This window comes from Homo sapiens, chromosome 6 (assembly GCF_000001405.40).
Source record: "Homo sapiens chromosome 6, GRCh38.p14 Primary Assembly".
NCBI classification, from domain to species: Eukaryota; Metazoa; Chordata; class Mammalia; order Primates; family Hominidae; genus Homo; species Homo sapiens.
In genome coordinates, this window is record NC_000006.12 from 100,056,137 (window position 1) to 100,076,717 (window position 20,581).

Below are 20,581 nucleotides of genomic sequence, written 5' to 3' on the forward strand. Positions count from 1 at the left end.
TTCTTCTAGTAGTTTTACAGTTTCAGGTCTTTAATATTTAAGTTGTTAATACATTTTGGGTTGATTTTTGTATACAGCTTATTTTGTAAATTGGATAAGGATCAACTTTTATTCTTTTATATGTGAATATTTAGTTTTCCCAACACTATTTTTTTAAGAAACTGTTCTTTCTTCATTGTGTGTTCTTGAAATCTATGTCAAAAATAAATTGATTATAAATGTCTGGGTCTATTTCTGGGCTCTCTGTTCTAATCCATTGGCCTATATGTCTGTTTTTATGCTAGTACCATGCTGTTTTAATAACTATAGCTTTGTCGTAAAATTTGAAATCAGAAATTGTGATGCTTCCATCTTTGTTCTTTTTGCTCAAGATTGTTTTGGTTATTAAGGGTCTTTTGTGGTTGAATATAAACTTAGGGACTTTTTTTATTTCTGTGAAAAATGACACTGAATTTTCATATGGATTGCATTGAATTTATAGATTGCTTTGGGTAGTATGGACATTTTTACAATGTTTATCCTTTCAATCCATAAATATTGGATATCTTTCAATTTATTTGTGTTTTCTTCAATTTCTTTCATTAGTGTTTTATAGTTTTCAAAATACAGGTCTTTTATCTCCTTAGTTAAATTTTCACCTAAGTATTTGATTTTTTTGTTGCTATTGTAAATGGAGTTGTTTTCTTAATTTCCTTTCTAGGTAGTTCATTATCAGAATATATAATGCTACTTATTTTTGTATGTTGATTTTGAATCCTGTAACTTTACCAAATTTTTTATAAATTTTAACTTTTTTTGGTAGAATGTGCCGTAATTTAATGGGAGCATTTTATTTTTTAGTGGAATATAAAGTATTTGTGCGCCTTACAATTAATGGCATTTTGAGTTTAATGATATGTGATGGATCACCAGTCTCATGTTTTCTGAGCTAATGCAATGCCATGGGTGGAAGCCATGAGGACTGTGTGGCTGCAAAGTTTCCATAACTGACATTAGGATGTGGACATTGCTGAGGCATCTTTTGGAGGAGAATAGCAGAATAGCCCTTCCTCAGTGTTGTGGGTCAAGAATAAGGTGAGAAAATGACTTGTCAACATACCAGCAGGGTGTGGTTAGTAGGTGAGCCATTCAAGCGTGCCTGGGAGAGTCTGAGCCTTTGTGGAAGCGTTAATATATCAGGAAAAAGTCCCACGCTGAACAGTGTCCACCCTGAAAGAGACTGCCAATTAATTATAAAGTTACCAAATAATAAAGGAGAGCATATATTACCAAATATAAATATATTATTAACAAAATAATTCAAATACTTCTCAATTCGTTTATAATCTATATCCAATAAGTCCTGATACTTGGAAAAGGCAACAAGCAGTCCAACAGGTTTGCATAAAGAGATCCGGGGGCTGGGTTTGCTGCCCTTTGTCCTCCCCACTCCGAGAGAGGATGAGGGAGGTGACAGACCATTTGTCTCTCAAGCCTGACGAGGAGTGCAGGAGTACTTCTGAGCACAGGTTCATCTTGGGCATGAGAAAGTGGCTCCTTACCTGGAAAGCAATTTCCCTCCTTCCCTCCCTCCCTGCCTTCCTCCCTTCCTTCTTTCCTTCCTTCTTTCCTTCTTTTTTTTTGAGACAGAGTCTGGCTCTGTTGCCCAGGCTGGAGAGCAGTGGTGCCTCTCGGCTCACTGCAACTTCCGCCTCTCAGGTTCAAGCGATTGTTGTGCCTCAGCCTTCCGAGTAGCTGGGATTACAGGCACACGCCACCACGCCTGACTAATTTTTGTATTTTTAGTAGAGACAGGGTTTTGCCATGTTGGCCAGGCTGAGGTGGAACTCCTGACCTCAAGTGATCCACCTGCCTCAGCCTTCCAAAGTGGTGGGATTACAGGCGTGAGCCACCATGTCCAGTCCCTGTGGCTTCTTTTTAATTCCAAGTTGTCAGGTCTCGGTACATTATAGCAGTCTACATAAGTTGCAAAAATAAACTTCCTGATTCCAAAGCACACCATGTTTAATGAGTCATCCTGGACACTGAATTTCAAAAGGATTAGAAATTTATTTCTAGGTCTCTTTATGAGAAGAATGAGCAAGAGTCTATGCAACTATTTGAAGAGGAGATTCAGTCTTTAGAGATCTTTTGGTAATAAAATAATCACACACTAACTCAATAACTATTGAGACTTATAATGCTGTGATTGAGGAAAGTAAACATGTTGCTAAATGGTTGAACCTTTCTAGACCTTAAAAAGCGTAAAGTTCTAAACAGATTTACTTCATTTTTATTTCCATTCCTATTTTTAGAAATAAGTGAAACGTTTGAGTAAAGCCAGATTTGAGGGGTCTTTTTCCCTTCTCTGCCACAAAATTTGCTGGATAAATGGCCTCCTTAGTAGATTTATATTTGGGTTGCCAGATAAAATACAGGACATACAAATATTGCATAGGACATACTTATACTAAAAATTATTTGTTGATTATATGTAATTAAAATTAAACTAGGTATCTTTTTTTGGTAAATAGGGCCATCTTAATTTATATGTACTTTGTATGGCTGTTCTTATTTGCTACACAGAAGTTTTTTTTTTAGGAGAAATAGCATTTCTGGATTAGTTGACTGTTACTGTCAATAACTCATAATATTAAAATTTGATAATCTTGTCAGTTTATTAATTTGTAAGATGGATTCTTGGTGCGTTGGGCCCAAATATTCTGTAACTATAGCATGTTAAAAGCAGACCATCCTTTTTTCTGAAGAATCAGAGTTGTTTAGTGAATTATTTTAATGTTATCCTCAACAGTTACCAAATGCCTGGCAAGGTAAGGTTCAGCTGGCTTTCTTTTTTTTTTTTTTTTTTGTAAGTCAGAAGACCTCTCCAAATTTTTTTGTATTATAATTTTGTATTATAAAACTAGCTTTTCTTCCATTTTGGAAGTCAAATCCAGAATGATGGAGATCTGGAATTTTGAATCCTTTATGATTGCTCTTCCTTATTGACCCCAAATCAGATGATTGCTCTACTGTTTGCATAGATGACCTTAGTAATTGGATATACTTTAACATCTTCTGAGAATTACCAGAGACAGTGCTTGAATAAACATCAGATTTTAAAAAAACTGTATAAGCTGAGTGCTATTGGTTTTATTTGGCTCATTTCACATTCATTTTTACATGACGAGTGCCTATGGAGCTGAATATGGATATTAAAATGTGATAGGGAATGTGTGAGTGAATGTGTGTTTGTGTGTGCGTGTGTGCGTGCGCGCACGCACTGAGGAATGCTGTATATTAAGTGAGAAAGAAAGAAAAAAAATCCTGCAGACATCCAATCCTGATTCTTAGAAACAAGAATTGATAGAACCTATGGATCAGTCATGGGTAACCCTAACCATTGTCAAAGTGGGTGCTTAAGTGATGTGTGGTAGAAGGAAGAACAAATAAAGAGACAGGTGGTTTATCTGACATTCTATTTGCCAGAGATTTGCATTAACTGGCATTTGTGGACATATTCCACAGAGCAGCAATTGACGTTTATAATGATGACCCTGAGACATGGTAAGTGCTGTGTGAATTATCACAGAAAAATGAAAACCTGTTAGTGCAAATCAGGTGTTAAGTGCATTTTATTGTGTGTTTTTTTTAAATTAATGTTGACTCTTTATGTAGAGCACATATGTTTTCGCTTTAATCAGGATAATTATACTTTCTGACCAAATCAGATGACACAAAGCGGATTGTAGAAATTTAACACACATTTGCTCATTACCTGCTGTGTAATAAGCTATAGGCAAACATTGATAGACACAATTTTATGTCCTCAAGAAATTCATAATTACGGGAGATAGAGAACCATATGTTTTTTATAAAATGTAAGAGGACCCTAATGTACATACAAATACAATGGAAACCATAGTGTAGAAGTAATTGATAAAAGAGAAGTCAAAGATTTATTACTGAGGAGATAACATTTGAATTGCACGTTGAAGAACGAGTAAAGTTTCTCTAGCTAAATAGAAATGTTACTGTCATTTCCCAGAATAGGGATTTTATGTACTTTGTCCCTTGTTTTCTCCATCATCTCCTCATTTTTGAGATTGACGGTGGATACATTAGATAGTGGAGGATGAAGTTTGATATGAGTTAAGAAATACTACTCTGAATACCCTAGGTCCTGCTTTCAATTGTTATTTGCGTGTCAGAGTGGGCAGTGGAGTAATGTGAAAATCTATCACCTCAAGTTGAGGAGAAAAACCTAGAAATTAAATAAGGGATTCAGGAAAAATCATGATGGCCTATGGGATTATTTGCCTTGTTAAATCATCTGTTTTTATTGTTTTAAAGTACAATTACTTTGGATTTCTCTTGGTATTTCCAAATTATCTATCTTATGGACAGAACTTCTTACAGAGCAGAGCCACCCTCAGCAATAATAAGGGTCACAATGGCTCAGGCTTTATTTCTCCTTAAGTAATCTTCCATACAGCCTGCTTGTTAATAAATAGTTAATTATTTGGGCAGCTGCTAATTATGCTGGAGCCCAACAATGGATATAAGACATTGGCATTTTGCAGCTGCATTTTGCCCTGGGTGGGAGTGTCGATGTGGAGTGCAGGACAGGTAGGGTAGCCTCTTCAGTCAGTCACAAATCAGGACCATCCAGGCCCAATACTAGACTCAGAGTTTGTCATCATTGATTACATAAACCAAAGATCGATCAACTCCCCTTCATGTCTGGCTCTGTAAGTGCAAAGAAACTAACAATGGTCAATTTGTTTATTTTTATCAATTATTCTTTTCATGCAAATGGAATGACGAAAAAGACACTAGACTAGGTACATGTGTCTGGATTCTGGTGCAACCTGTGCTATACACTGACTGTACGACCTAAGGCAACTATCTTAGCCTTTCGGGACTTCATTTTCTCCATAGTATACTGACTAAATGATCCTCACAATTTTTTTCCAGTTCTAGAATGCTAGGAATCTTTCTTGTTAATTTTTAATTTTTGTGGGTACATAGCAGGTGTATACATTTATGGAAGAAATGAAATGTTTTCATACAGGCATGCAATGTATAATAATCACATCATGGAGAATGGGGCATCCATTCCTTCAAGCATTTATCCTTTATGCCATGAATAATCTAATTATACTCTTTTTGTCACTTTAAAATGTACTACTAAGTTATTATTGACTGTAATCACCCTGTTGTGCTATCAAATAGTAGATCTTACTCATTCATTCTATTTTTTGTACCCAGTAAACATCCCTACCTCCTTCCAACACCTCCACCTACCCTTCCAGCGTCTGTTCACCATCCTTCTACTCTCTCTGTTCCATGAGTTCCATGAATTTAATTATTTTGATTTTTAGATCCCACAAATAAAGAAGAACTTGCAATGTTTGTCTTTCTGTGTCTGGCTTATTCTGCTTAACATAATGACCTCCAGTTCCATTCATGCTGTTGCAAATCTCATTTTTTTATGTTTGAATAGTACTCTATTGTGTACATGTACAATATTTTCTTTATCTATTCATCTGTTAATGAACAGTTATGTTGTTTCCAAATCTTGACAATTGTGAGCAATGCTACACCAAACATGGGAGTGCAGATATCTCTTTAATATACTGATTTAATTTCATTTGGGTACATACCCAGCAGTGGGATTGATGGGTCATATGGGAGCTCTATTTTTCGTTTTTTGAGAAAGCTCCGTTTGGAGCTGTTTTCCATGGTGCTTGCACTAACTTACATTCCCGTGAACAGTGCATGAGGGTTCCCTTTTCTTCACATCCTCTCCAGCATTTGCTATTATCTGTCTTTTGGATGAAAGCCATTTGAACTGGGGTAAGACGATATCTCATTGTAGTTTTGACTTAACATTTCTCTAATGATCAATGGCATTGAGCACCTTTTCATATGCCTGTTTGCCATTTGTATGTCTATTCAAATCTTTAGCCCATTTTTTAATCAGGTTATTAGATTTTTTCCAATAGGGTTGTTTGAGCTCCTTATATATTCTGGCTATTAATCTCTTGTCAGAAGGGTAGTTTGCAAATATTTTCTCCCATTCTGTGCGTTGTCTCTTCACTTTGTTGATTGTGTCCTTTGCTGTGCAGAAGCTTTTTAACTCAATGTGATTCCATGTGTCCATTTTTGCTTTGGTTGACTGTGCTTGTGGAGTATTCCTCAGGAAATTTTTGTCCAGACCGATGTCCTGGAGATTGACCTCAATGTTTTCTTGTAGTGTACTAGGATTCTTAAAAGCCACTTTTACAGATATCTATGTACATAAACAAATACGTTTATGCCTTTTCATTTAAAAATAGATTTTAAGTTTATTTTACTAAAATACTGAGTTATCAGTGTGTAAGTCTAAAACATTATTCAATGGAATAATGTGCTTTTTCAAGCACTACATAATTCCAAACAAAATAAATTCGATGGCATAAGGAGAGAGGCACCAAAATCTACCTCTATGCTCCCCTTTCATCCAAGACATAAAAGAAAGCAGCAGCAATCATTTCTTCTGCTAACCCCAGTAAGTAACTAATGCAGAATGCTTTGATGTGTTTGACAGACAATTCCCAAATGTGGTTTTTAATCCATAGTCACAGAGCTACCTGGTTCATTCTCTAAAATTTCTCATGTGGAAATTTATTACGTATTCACATGCACTCATGCTGAAAGCCTCCTTTGCTTGCTACTTAATCACATTTCCTAAATGACTGTCCTACAGCCATTAAGTTTATTAATGGAATCCCAAACAAAGGAATTTAGCTTTCATAATAGCACCAAAGAAAACTTGCCAAAATTACTCCTTAGAATTTTTTTAAATGACATGTCAAAATTCCACGCGTATACAAGATTGTTTGCCATAGCGAACAATCTTTAGATTGGAGACAATCTAAAGGCTCATTAAGAGGTTAAAAATATTTGATACATAATTGGTATGTAAATATTACAATCCACTTATGGTACATGTTATGGAGTATCACATAGCTGTTAAGAAGAATGAGAACTTGTCTGTACTCACATGGAAAGAAAAATATTAAGTAGAAAATAAAGCTAGTTGCATAACAGATGTTTGTCAAAGAGTTAGCAGTGTTAACTTCTTGAAGCTATGCATTAGAGGCCTGGGAAGTGGTACAGAGGTTAATTTCACTTTCTACATTATTTCATATTGCTTAAATTTCTCACAATAACCATACATATTTCAAAAATCAAAGCAAAAAGCTCTTCCAGCAACACTTGTAATTACCTCTTAAATATACAAAATTATTTAGACATGCAACTATTAAGAATTCATATAATACTTGTGAAATTGCATCCTCTTTTCAGGAACTGAATAGAAAATGGATAGAAATTATTTTTTTTCCAGAGCCAGACTAGCTTATGTTAAAAGGTTTCAACCCAAATGTGCTCTCTCTTTATCTCACCATTCTTTTTAAAAATCAAGGTCTCTAAAGCAGAATCTTCATGTTGCTTTCTCTTAGTAAATGTTATGGTATTATATCACTATATTCTGGCTTCGAAAAATGAATTATTAGGCCCTTCATTTAATTTTTGCCTTTTTCCTCAAATAACAGAGGGCATCTTTAACATGAGTTAGTCATCCTTACCTATGGTCATGATATTTCCATTTGTCATGCCGTGCCCCTTGCCAACCTCATCTTTCCCATTCTCTATTATCCTAAATGTATACTTCCAACCCCCACCTTTCCCACTTCCACCCTGGAAGATCTTTTAGTTACCCACAACCCAGGTTGGAGGACCTGTTTACTATTTTATGCACCCCCACAATGTTATGATCAGAGTTATTTATGCAAAAATTCCCGTTAAAGCTATAGAATGTGTAGGTTAGAATCAAACACTTGCACCTATTAAACACTCTATGAAGAGTGACCTCTTCCTGAAAGTCTTGTCTGTGCTTTCTATTGTTCACACTTCACTGAATATTAGCTCTACCAGTGAAATCTCATGCAACAAAACTATTCTTTTTCTTAAAAAACTTCTTAATTGTGGATCTTGTGTATAGCAGAATATTTGCATAAAGTTGTTTTGATATTGTAAGTCAATGTTGTTTTTCTTTAAGTATATGTACTAATGTAGAAGGTGTGCAATGCCAGAAAGTACAAGGGGGATTGAACAGGTGTTTTGGAGGTATCAATTTTGCAATGAGTATTAGCTACATCTGGAATTTCATATTCCAAGAGTTGGATTTCACTCGTGTTATGAACTCATGATATTACAGGCCTGAAATTCAGCCCCTGCTTTTTAATAACTGTGCAATATTCAACAACTTACATAACTCTAATTCTTTGTTTTCTCACAAAATGAAGAAAATAATAACCATTTCAGTCATTTGTTGGGACAATTAAGCAGGAGGAATTGTGAAAACATCCAGCACAATGCCTAACATACAAGCACTCAATATGTTCATTCCTTCTTTCTTTTTTCCCTTCCTCAAAAAGAATTGAAAGAAATAGGACCCTTAATCTCTATAAGAGGCATAACGATGGAAAAATTCAACACCACTGGGCCTTCAATGCAAGCTATAAATCACTTACAAAAGTGAAAACACATATTTGGGGTTATTACTCAAATGAACTGTAGATCATGATAAGATTACACCAGCCATACTCTAGTGAAACTTAGGTGTCATGAAGAAAAAAAAAAGATCAATTAAATGATGATTTTTTTATGCCTTTGTGAAATATATAAGGAGATTTTTATCAGAAGCAAACTGAGTTTTTCTGCTTATTTACAAGAAATCAAAGAGAATGAAATGGGATTTATATAGGAAAGATTTTGATGGAAATAACAAAACGAAATGTTAAAGAGGGCAGAGAGCTCCGGATACTTCAGGGTATCAAAGTCTTCTGGTAAACTTTTAGGTTTATGACTCTTTGATTGCATTTTAATCAATACTTAATAGTTATTGGTGTTTGTGATCACAATATTTAAAGGTTATTTGTTAGTATGTTCACATCCAACAATTCTTCTATTAATGTTCCTTGTTCATTAAGAAACTGTGAAATGTAGATGCTGAATGTTTATTATTTGAATTAGGCTTTTTTAAAGACATGGTCTTTCTCTGTCACCCAGGCTGAAGTCCAGTGGCATGATCTCTGCTCACTGCAGCCTTGACCTTCTGGGCTCAAGTAATACTCCTACCTCAGCCTCCCAAGCAGCTGGGACTACCCATATGCACCACCATGCCCAGCTAATTTTTGTATTTTTTTAATAGAGATCAGGTTTCTCCCTATTGCCCAGGGTGATCTCGAACTCCCAAGCTCAAGTAATCTGCTCACTTTGGCCTCCCCAAGTGCTGGGATTACAGACATGAGCCACTGTACCCTGCCTGAATCAGGCATTTTAACATAAGATTAATGAAAGGGAAAATTCTTATCAGCTCCTTCCACACCACAAGTGTTGAAATGATAAGCTCAACATCATACTACACAGTACAATGCACAAATGATGGAGTATAAAGTGGCTTATTCTGATAGAAAGCCACCCTTTGCAAAGTGGCCTTTGTGCTTAATTTTTAAATAGAAATGAAGGCCAGAGGCTTCCTTCTGTCTCACCACTTTTGATTACCCCAGGTAAGCTTCTATTCAACAACTCAAGAATAGGAAACTATAAATGCTATTATTTAAAATCAACATCAAATTGTGAGGAAATAAATACACTCTCAAGACTATTTTCGTTCTGGAATTTTGTACTTAAAAATGTGTTTGCATGTTTTTAACCTTTTGGGCTGAAGTACATCCTTTATATACCGAATTTGCTGAGTACTTTTTTCATGAAAGAATGTTGAATTTTCTCAAATGCTTTTTCTGCATCTAATGAGATGATTATATTATTTTTGTACTTCATTCTTTTAATGTGGTGTATCACATTTATTGATTTGTAAACATTGAACCATCTTTGCCTTCAAGGGATAAATCCCCCGGATTATGGTGAACGACCCTTTTAAAGTGTTGTTGAATTCAGTTTGCTAGTATCCTGTTGAGTATTTTTGCATGTATGTTTATCAAGGATATTGGCTTGTAGCTTTCTTTTCTTGTGATGTTTTTATCTGGCTTTTGTATCAGAGTCACGCTGGCTTCATGAAAAAGTGTGGAGGTATTCCACCATCTTCTGTTTTTGTGGAAAAGATTGTGGAGGATTGGTAGTAGTTCTTTAAATGTTTGATAGAATTCAGCAGTTAATCCATCAGGTCCTGTGCTTTTCTTTAACAGGAAACGGTTTTTTTTTTTTTTTTTTTTTTTACTTATTCACTTGTTATTGCTCTGTTCAGATTTTCTATTTCTTAATTATTTAGTCTAGACAGGTTGTATGTTTCCAGGTATTTATCCAGTTCTCCTAGGTTATGAAATTTGGGGGCATATAATTGTCCATAAAAATCTCTTATAATTCTTCATATTTCTGTAGTGTCAGTTATGTCTCCACTTACATTTCTGACTTTGAGTCTTTTTTTTCTTTTGTTAGTCTAGCTAAAAGGTGTCCATTTTGTTTATCTTTTCACAAACGAACTCTCAATTTGATTGATCTTTTGTATAATTTTTCTGATCCTTATTTTCTCCTTTCTTTTGCTAACATTGGGTGTAGGTAGTTCTTTTTTCTGTTTCCTTGAGGCATAATGTTAAGTTGTTTATTTGAGACCTTTCTTCTTTTTTGACATAGACATTTATTACTATTAACTTTCCTCTTAGAACCACTTTTGTTGCATCTTGTAAGTTTTGGGATGTTGTGTCTTCATTTCTTGTTTATCTTGACATATTTTTAAATTTCCCTTTTAATTTCTTCATTGACCCATTTGTTGTTCAAGAGCATGTTACTTAATTTTCATGTATTTGCTAATCTTCTGAAAATCCTAATATAAAAGATAGTTTTATATTATTGTGGTTGAAAAAGATATTTGATATGATTTTAATATTCTTAAATTTGATAAGACTTGTATTGTAGCCTAACTTATAAATTCTCCTGGAGAAAGATTTGTGTGCTCTTGAGAAGAATGTGTATTATGTTGTTGGATGGAATGTTCCATGAGTGTCTGTTAGGTTCATTTAATCTAAAGTGTTGTCCAAGTCCAGGGTTTCATCATTAGTTTTCTTTCTTAATGATCTATTCAATATTGAAAGTGGTGTATTAAAGTCCCCTGCTTTTATTGTACTGGAATCTATCTCTCCCTTCAGATCCTTTAATGTTTGTCTTACATATCAGGTGCTCCACTGTTGGGCACATGTATGTTTACAATTGTTATGTCCTTTTGATGTTGACTCCTTTATTATTATATAATGACCTTCTTTGTCTTTTTTTTCAATTTTTGACTTAAGTCTATTTTGTCTGATATAAGTGTCACGACTTCTGCTCTTTTAATTTCCATTTGCATGGAATATCTTTTTTCATCCCTTCACTTTGTCTATGTGTGTCCTTAAAAGTGAAGTGAATTCCTTATAGGTAACGTAATTGGATCCTTTTTTACATTTTATCCATTCATTCACATTATGTCTTTTGACTGCAGAATTTAATTCTTTTTTATTTAAGGTAATTATTGATAGCAAAGAACTCACTACTGCCATTTAAAAAATTGTATTCTGGTTGTTTTGTAAATACCTTCTTTCTTTCTTCCTTTCTTTCTGTCTCGTTTTGTGGTTTGATGGTTTTCTGTAGTGGTATGATTTGAATATTTTACATTTTTGTTGTGTGTATCTATGGAATTTTGCTTTATGGTTACCATGAGGCTTACATTGAACATTGTACATTTAGTCTATTTCAATCTGATAACAGCTTAAGTTTAATTATATACAATGCTACACTTTTACACTCTTTTCAAATTTTACATTTTTGATGGTTGAATTTACATCATTTTATAATACATATCTGTTGAAAATTTATTTCAGCTATAGTTTTCATTAATGTATTTTCACCCTTGAAATGGAGATAAAGTTACTTTACGTACCACAATTACACTTTAAGGGCATTCTGAATATTGCTCTGTATCACTTATACCATTGGGTTCCGTGCTTTTGTAAGTTTATTCTATTAATTAGCAGCCTTTCATTTCAGTTTAAGCCTTTTCCCATTTAGAAAAAAAGTGCAGTTCATTGCAAGCACTCATTTAATTTTACATAAACACATTCTTTGAGGCTGAAGCAAATCTGACTGATTTTCAATGTAAAAATAAAATATAAAAACTGTTCTTGGAATTATTTCTAAACAGAACTAATATCAGAATCATCTAAATAATCAGAATCAACTATTATGGAAAAATCAGACTTATCGAATGAATCTTCAGCCAACAGCTGTTTGAGAGTGATGTTAACATCACTTGTAGGAATGCTACATTTTCCAGGATTTGACATTTTCAACTATCTAGAATTATTACATTTTGTAAATGGAAATATCACTACTAAAAACAGAATTCTATAAACAGAATGATGTCTTTTTTTTCCCAAAGTCGATAGACTAGAGCAATGTGAAAATAATAATAAAAGTGAGATATTTTGTGGCAAAGTTATCTCAGGGTAAATGCTACAGCCATAACCACCACTGGACAGTGTTCTTAGGGCAAATGGGAAAAGGGTTAAATAACTCTCTCACAATTCCTGTAAGGCAGGCCTTATGGTGATAATCTCCCTTAGCTTTTGTTTGTCTGGAAATGTTTTTATTTCTCAAATATAAGTTGGCTGGGTAAAGTATTCTTGGTTCGCAGGTTTTTTTTTTCCCCCTTCAACACTTTGAATGTATTATCACACTCTCTCCTAGTTTCTACTGAGACATCCACTGATAGATGTATTGGGACTCCTTTGTATGTGATGTATTTCTTAATTCTTGCTGCTTTCAGGATTTCTTTGTCTTTGATTTTTGGTAGTGTGATTATTATATATCTTGGTGAACTCTTTGGGTTGAATTTCACAGGTGACTTCTTACCTTCGTGTACTTGAATTTTATCTTCTTTCTTCCAATTAGGGATGCTTTATTTTATTATTTCTTTAAATATGCTTTCTGGCCGTCATTCTCTTTCCTTTCCTTCTGGAATGCCAATTTTGTGTGGATTAGGTCTCTTGATAGTATTTCATAATTCCCATAGGTTTTCTTCATTTCCTCTTTGTGTTTCTTTTTTTCCCTCCTCTCTTGGGTAATTTTACATGTTCTACCTTTGAATTCACTGATTCTTTCTTCAGCTTGATTGAGCTGGCTGTTGAAGCTTTCTATTATACTTTTTAGGTTAATCATTGTATTCTTTAACTATAAAATTCCTGTTTATCTTTAATTTTTTTTTGTTTGTCAAACTTCTCATGTTATGCATGTATTCTTATCCAAGTTGTATTTAATTTTTTATTTGAATATTCTTGAAGTTCATTGAACTTTTTAAAAGAAGATTATTCTGAATTTTATTTCTGTCATGTCATAGATCTCCCTTTCTTTGGGGTTTATTGTTGGAGATTTGTTAATTTTTTTTTTTATTATTATACTTTAAGTTTTAGGGTACATGTGCACATTGTGCAGGTTAGTTACATATGTATACATGTGCCATGCTGGTGCGCTGCACCCACTAACTCATCATTTAGCATTAGGTATATATCCCAATGTTATCCCTCCCCCCTCCCCCCACCCCACAACAGTCCCCAGAGTGTGATATTCCCCTTCCTGTGTCCATGTGATCTCATTGTTCAATTCCCACCTATGAGTGAGAATATGCGGTGTTTGGTTTTTTGGTCTTGCGATAATTTACTGAGAATGGTGATTTCCAATTTCATCCATGTCCCTACAAAGGACATGAACTCATCATTTTTTATGGCTGCATAGTATTCCATGGTGTATATGTGCCACATTTTCTTAATCCAGTCTATCATTGTTGGACATTTGGCTTGGTTCCAAGTCTTTGCTATTGTGAATAGTGCCGCAATAAACATAAACATACGTGTGCATGTGTCTTTATAGCAGCATGATTTATAGTCCTTTGGTTATATACCCAGTAATGGGATGGCTGGGTCAAATGGTATTTCTAGTTCTAGATCCCTGAGGAATCGCCACACTGACTTCCACAATGGTTGAACTACTTTACAGTCCCACCAACAGTGTAAAAGTGTTCCTGTTTCTCCACATCCTCTCCAGCACCTGTTGTTTCCTGACTTTTTAATGATGGCCATTCTAACTGGTGTGAGATGGTATCTCATTATGGTTTTGATTTGCATTTCTCTGATGGCCAGTGATGGTGAGCATTTTTTCATGTGTTTTTTGGCTGCATAAATGTCTTCTTTTGAGAAGTGTCTGTTCATGTCCTTCACCCACTTTTTGATGGGGTTGTTTGTTTTTTTCTTGTAAATTTGTTTGAGTTCATTGTAGATTCTGGATATTAGCCCTTTGTCAGATGAGTAGGTTGTGAAAATTTTCACCCATTTTGTAGGTTGCCTGTTCACTCTGATGGTAGTTTCTTTTGCTGTGCAGAAGCTCTTTAGTTTAATTAGATCCCATTTGTCAATTTTGTCTTTTGTTGCCATTGCTTTTGGTGTTTTAGACATGAAGTCCTTGCCATGCCTATGTCCTGAATGGTAATGCCTAGGTTTTCTTCTAGAGTTTTTATGGTTTTAGGTCTAACATGTAAGTCTTTAATCCATCTTGAATTGATTTTTGTATAAGGTGTAAGGAAGGGATCCAGTTTCAGCTTTCTACATATGGCTAGCCAGTTTTCCCAGCACCATTTATTAAATAGGGAATCCTTTCCCCATTGCTTGTTTTTCTCAGGTTCGTCAAAGATCAGATAGTTGTAGATATGCGGCGTTATTTCTGAGGGCTCTGTTCTGTTCCATTGATCTATATCTTTGTTTTGGTACCAGTACCATGCTGTTTTCATTACTGTAGCCTTGTAGTATAGTTTGAAGTCAGGTAGTGTGATGCCTCCAGCTTTGTTCTTTTGGCTTAGGATTGACTTGGCGATGCGGGCTCTTTTTTGGTTCCATATGAACTTTAAAGTAGTTTTTTCCAATTCTGTGAAAAAAGGCATTGGTAGCTTGATGGGGATGGCATTGAATCTGTAAATTATCTTGGGCAGTATGGCCATTTTCACGATATTGATTCTTCCTACCCATGAGCATGGAATATTCTTCCATTTGTTTGTATCCTCTTTTATTTCATTGAGCAGTGGTTTGTAGTTCTCCTTGAAGAGGTCCTTCACATCCCTTGTAAGTTGGATTCCTAGGTATTTTATTCTCTTTGAAGCAATTGTGAATGGGAGTTCACTCATGATTTGGCTCTCTGTTTGTCTGTTATTGGTGTATAAGAATGCTTGTGATTTTTGTACATTGATTTTGTATCCTGAGACTTTGCTGAAGTTGCTTATCAGCTTAAGGAGATTTTGGGCTGAGACAATGGGATTTTCTAGATATACAATCATGTCATCTGCAAACAGGGACAATTTGACTTCCTCTTTTCCAGTTGAATACCCTTGATTTCCTTCTCCTGTGTAACTGCCCTGGCCAGAAATTCCAACACTATGTTGAATAGGAGTGGTGAGAGAGGGCATCCCTGTCTTGTGCCAGTTTTCAAAGGGAATGCTTCTAGTTTTTGCCCATTCAGTATGATATTGGCTGAATCAAATAGACGGAATAAAAAATGATAAAGGGGATATCACCACTGATCCCACAGAAATACAAACTACCATCAGAGAATACTACAAACACCTCTATGCAAATAAACTAGAAAATCTAGAAGAAATGGATAAATTCCTCGACACATACACTCTATCAAGACTAAACCAGGAAGAAGTTGAATCTCTGAATAGACCAATAACAGGATCTGAAATTGTGGCAATAATCAATAGCTTACCAACCAAAAAGAGTCCAGGACCAGATGGATTCACAGCCGAATTCTACCAGAGGTACAAGAAGGAACTGGCACCATTCCTTCTGAAACTATTCCAATCAATAGAAAAAGAGGGAATCCTCCCTAACTCATTTTATGAGGCCAGCATCATTCTGATACCAAAGCCGGGCAGAGACACAACAAAAAAAGAGAATTTTAGACCAATATCCTTGATGAACATTGATGCAAAAATCCCCAATAAAATACTGGCAAAACGAATCCAGCAGCAGATCAAAAAGCTTATCCACCATGATCAAGTGGGCTTCATCCCTGGGATGCAATGCTGGTTCAATATACACAAATCAATAAATGTAATCCAGCATATAAACAGAGCCAAAGACAAAAACCACATGATTATCTCAATAGATGCAGAAAAAGCCTTTGACAAAATTCAACAACCCTTCATGCTAAAAACTCTCAATAAATTAGGTATTGATGGGACGTATTTCAAAATAATAAGAGCTATCTATGATTTGTTAATTTTTTTGTAGGTGCCATGATTTCCTGAGTCTTTGTAATCCTTGTGTCCTTGCCTTGGTGTTTACACATTTGCATGGATAGCCACTTTTTCCAACTTTTATAGGAGATTTCCTTTGGCAAGGATAGATCTTCACTAGTTAGTCTAGCCTGTGATTCTAGATGGACTGGCAAGCAAAGCTTTCTTTCAGGTTCTCTAGATGGCTTGGATGATACATTTGCTCTGAATTTGAGCTAGGTTACAGAGTATGTTCTCAGGCTATAAGGTACTGTCATCTGAGTTTAGAAGCTGCACAGGGTTGCAGGAGGAGCCTTGAGGTTAAGTAAATTAGGATGGATGAACCAACTGCTATGCTCAGTAGAAATGTACAATTGAGGTTTTCCTCCCTCCCTGGACAGGGTCTAGGGTTGAGCTTTGAGGTTGCAGGGAATACTGATTAAGCTTTCAGATGTGGCCTATCTAGATACTACTTGTTTAGAAATTCACTGCAGGAATTTTCTCCCTCCCTGGGTAATGATTTTGGGTAGAGTATACTGCTGGCTATAGAGGCTGACCATCCAGGAATTCAAGCAATGTAGCACTTCTCACCTTTTCTGGGGTCACCAACTTGGTTTTGTGGATGAGCTATGCTGTTAGTTGGCACCTTTTATTGAGCAACACTGCTGTCAGGTACACTGTGCTTTCACCAAAATTGACACATTGCTCTCTGTGGCCTCTCTCTATTGCTTTGTTTTTTGCTTGACCCCAGGGAGTCTAGCTGTGCAGTTTTTCTGTATGTTCCCCGTTCCCCATGAGGTGAAAGCAAAGTGAGTTTCCTGGTAGGCATCTCAGAATGCTAGGGAAGCTGGATGTCCACTTACTTGGATCTCTTTTCCCACTGTAGAAACCATGGGTCCTGGAGAATCCTCTCTGTGTGGCATTGTGCCAACTTGGAGGAGGAGGAATAGTAATGTGGTTAAAGTGAGATCATTTCTCCTATCCTTTCAATGAAAGTTTTTATTTAGTTTCGTGGAACACACAGGTAATTCAGGTTGATTTTTACATGCTGAGGTTTCACCAGGTGCATTGGTCTGTGTATATTTGCTACTTGATCTTCTGTGAGAGAGAGTGAAGCCTGGGACCTCCTATTCCACCATCTTGCTGATATCACTTCTGATATTATTTCTTGTTAATGTCAAGAAATTCTATGTGAAAGAATCTTTGGTTGAGAAGGGGTGGATTATTTGTCTTGCTGTCACTTCATTTTCCTCTCTATCCAAAAGCATTGATCTTAAACTATGCCTGTATAAGATTAGCAACCTGTACAGCTTGTATGAACAGCTTAGTTCAGTGATAAATGGTCAGAAATGCTTCAGATATTTAGGATGTCTGTAAAAACCTGAGTTGAGTTTATGTTTTTATGTCAAATTTACATTCACATAAGGGATATCTTTGATAAGTTCGTCCAATTACTTAGTTTATGATATTAATGAAGGAAAAGATCTTAAAATCCACCCTGAGACTGAATGGCTGGCTGTGCTGTAAACACTGCCCCATACCTCGCCAACCAGTTCACAAATAATGACTTTGGCATAAACGGATCATCATCTGAAATACTTCATAGTGTAGAGACAAAGGACAGCATTTCAAGAAGACATCCCTAAGTTTAAATCCCAGTTCTGCTACCTACAAGCTATGTGATCTTAGTTAAGCTGAAACTCTCTGAGACTCAGTTTGCACACTTGTAAAACTGTGTAATTGTAATGCTATCTACCCCAGCTATTATTGTAGGGATTAAATTGTATGAGATAACATATACTGAGCATCTGGTATATGCCTGGCACATAACAGTCTCAATAAATGATAGCTATATTTTCACTACTACATGTGGCTTCATTTTTAATCCAAGGATCAAAATATTATTGCTAACTTGGACTCAGCCAGAGGTTCTCCCTATTAAAAAGAATGAATATTTTTGATTGGTTGACTAGTTAACTTAATCATTTAGGCTTTCCAAAAGATGAATTCATATCCCCACATCACAAATATAATTACATTATGGAGTCTCTAAATTTAATGTCAAATATATTCACTTTAGTGATTGCCTAAAGTAGTCAGGAAAGTTACTATACTTATTTTTTTGAAACTGTCCACTGTCTTTTTGATAGGAGAGCAAATAAAAATAATTAAATACATAATGACTGATGTTAAAAATGGAATGAAAATCTCTGTCTTTGATATAGTATTCTATAAAAAAATTTGTGTGTGTGATGAACAAAGAATAAAGTTATTAAAATTCAACACAAGTTATGCCAAGTGAAGTTTACATTTTGTACTTTTAGGGAAGTATTAGAACATAATCAGTGGACACAAGTCAAATGGCTAATATAAATTCTCTTAGAGAAGTAGTAAAATTTATCTTCAGAAAAGCTCATTTTGGAGGTTAATTTGCATTTGTAAATGACTCTTTTTGCTCAAGCATGATTTTCTCATTATTGAAACCACTAAGTTGTGACGAACTGGAAGGGCTGATATTTATGAAACTCCCATAGACATCGGTATGTGCTATCCCCTTAATGAGAGTAGAGCTTTTTTGGTGTGGAGGTAGAAGTTTGGCATCTAATTATTTAAAAATTAGCAAATCCTCACTAAACAGATGCTTTTCTATTTTTTTGTTGACTTGTGTGAGATGCCAAACAACTCTATTCTTTGCCTAGAAGATTAAAATTTTCAATCTGATTTTTATTGCAGGCTTAATTTTAATGTACAATCATCCATGTAAATAAATCCTAGAGACTAGTGGTGTTCAAAATAATTAAAAAGATGTAGAAGAAAATATATTCACACTTAGTACTAGAGTAATAAAATAGTAAGCCTAAGGCACTTTGTGTGGCTCTACAACCTATGTTAATTTCACCTACAGTCCACTGTGGATGACTTTTAAAGACTTGGCAGTAATAGACAAACAGATATACATATACATATATTTCAGGATGAATATAAAAATGATAAAAATAGATGGAATTCTCATACTTTCAAGTGTATTTATACCTAAATCTATCTAAATCAGAGTAGTCATAGCCTTTGTACTGAGCTTTTATGAGTGAAATTGCTGGTGTTAGAAATTTAAACAGATCCAGTAAATGGTACCCCTCTTCTCCACATGAATTTGGAACTATATAAAAGGCAGACAGAGTAGGGAATGTGAGATTAAATTTCACCTTTATTACTGATAAAGTGGTTATTGAAGTTGATTGCCTATATCTATAGGATACTGGGGTTTCCAAATGTGAATTCCAGAATTTGGCCTCCTAATCATGGCAGCACTAGACCACTAGAGAAAGAGAAGGAACTGGGCTTTGCATGCCCAGTTTTTTTCCTACAAATTCACCGATCTAATAAGGTATTCCATCCATCTATGTTTTGCTCATTGTTGTATGTCTGGCGCCTAGAACACAGCTTGGCACCAAATAGATGTATAATAAACTAATAAATGAGAAAATGATTTTAAAAGGCTAAAAGAGTAGGTACAAACCAGGTTGTGAAGGCTTAGTATCTTTTACTGTGGTTTCAGACGGTTTTCTGTAGGCAATGGGGAGCTCACTAAAGGTATGTACATAGTGGGGAATGTGGACAAGTTTGCCTTTTAGAAAGACTGCTTCAGCTGCTGTTTGGAAATTGGATCTAAGTCCAGCAAGAATATTGGAAATTAGACCAAATTAGGAGGTTATTTCAAATAGTACAATCACTGATATAAAATTTTATTATAATTTATCCACAGGTTCCCTATTTTGTCAGTAAGGAAGTAAACAACCGCTAAAACAACCCTCTAACAACAGAAGACCCTCATGAGAACACCAGGCAGCAGAAGCTTCTTTAGCAGTAAAAGATATCTGGATATTCATATTTTGTTCCATGATCTTCAACATTAAATAAATAAACTTAATATTCAAGTCTCCTTCTGCATTCCTAGAAGAGGATGTTATTCAGATATCCAATGCCCTGCAATACTGTCAGTGCAGCTCAACAAAGTCAATTCTGTTAGCATCAAGAATGCTCCTGACTGAATGAGGACAAATCCCATCTTTATTATCAATAACACTTTAGATATGGAAAAGTGATACTATTCAGGAAAATAAGGAGAGCAGAGGTTTGCTGCCATAAAAATCCCCATGCTTGTTACTCTAGCTTTTACCACCCTAATTTTGCTTCATTTCCCCTAGCCTTAACTCAGTTACATTTCTTAAATTATTGTTC

At 35.2% G+C, this 20,581-nt stretch overlaps 1 long non-coding RNA gene across 1 annotated transcript in view; it reads left to right on the top strand.

Moving 5' to 3' along the window:
• Window positions 1-20,283, top strand: part of MCHR2-AS1 (MCHR2 antisense RNA 1) — an 82,382-nt gene extending 62,099 nt beyond the window's left edge. Inside the window, exon 3 of the long non-coding RNA NR_038384.1 lies at window positions 20,106-20,283. This is a non-coding gene — a long non-coding RNA (MCHR2 antisense RNA 1). The remainder of the gene's footprint in view (window positions 1-20,105) is intronic.
• Window positions 20,284-20,581: the final 298 nt, after the last annotated feature.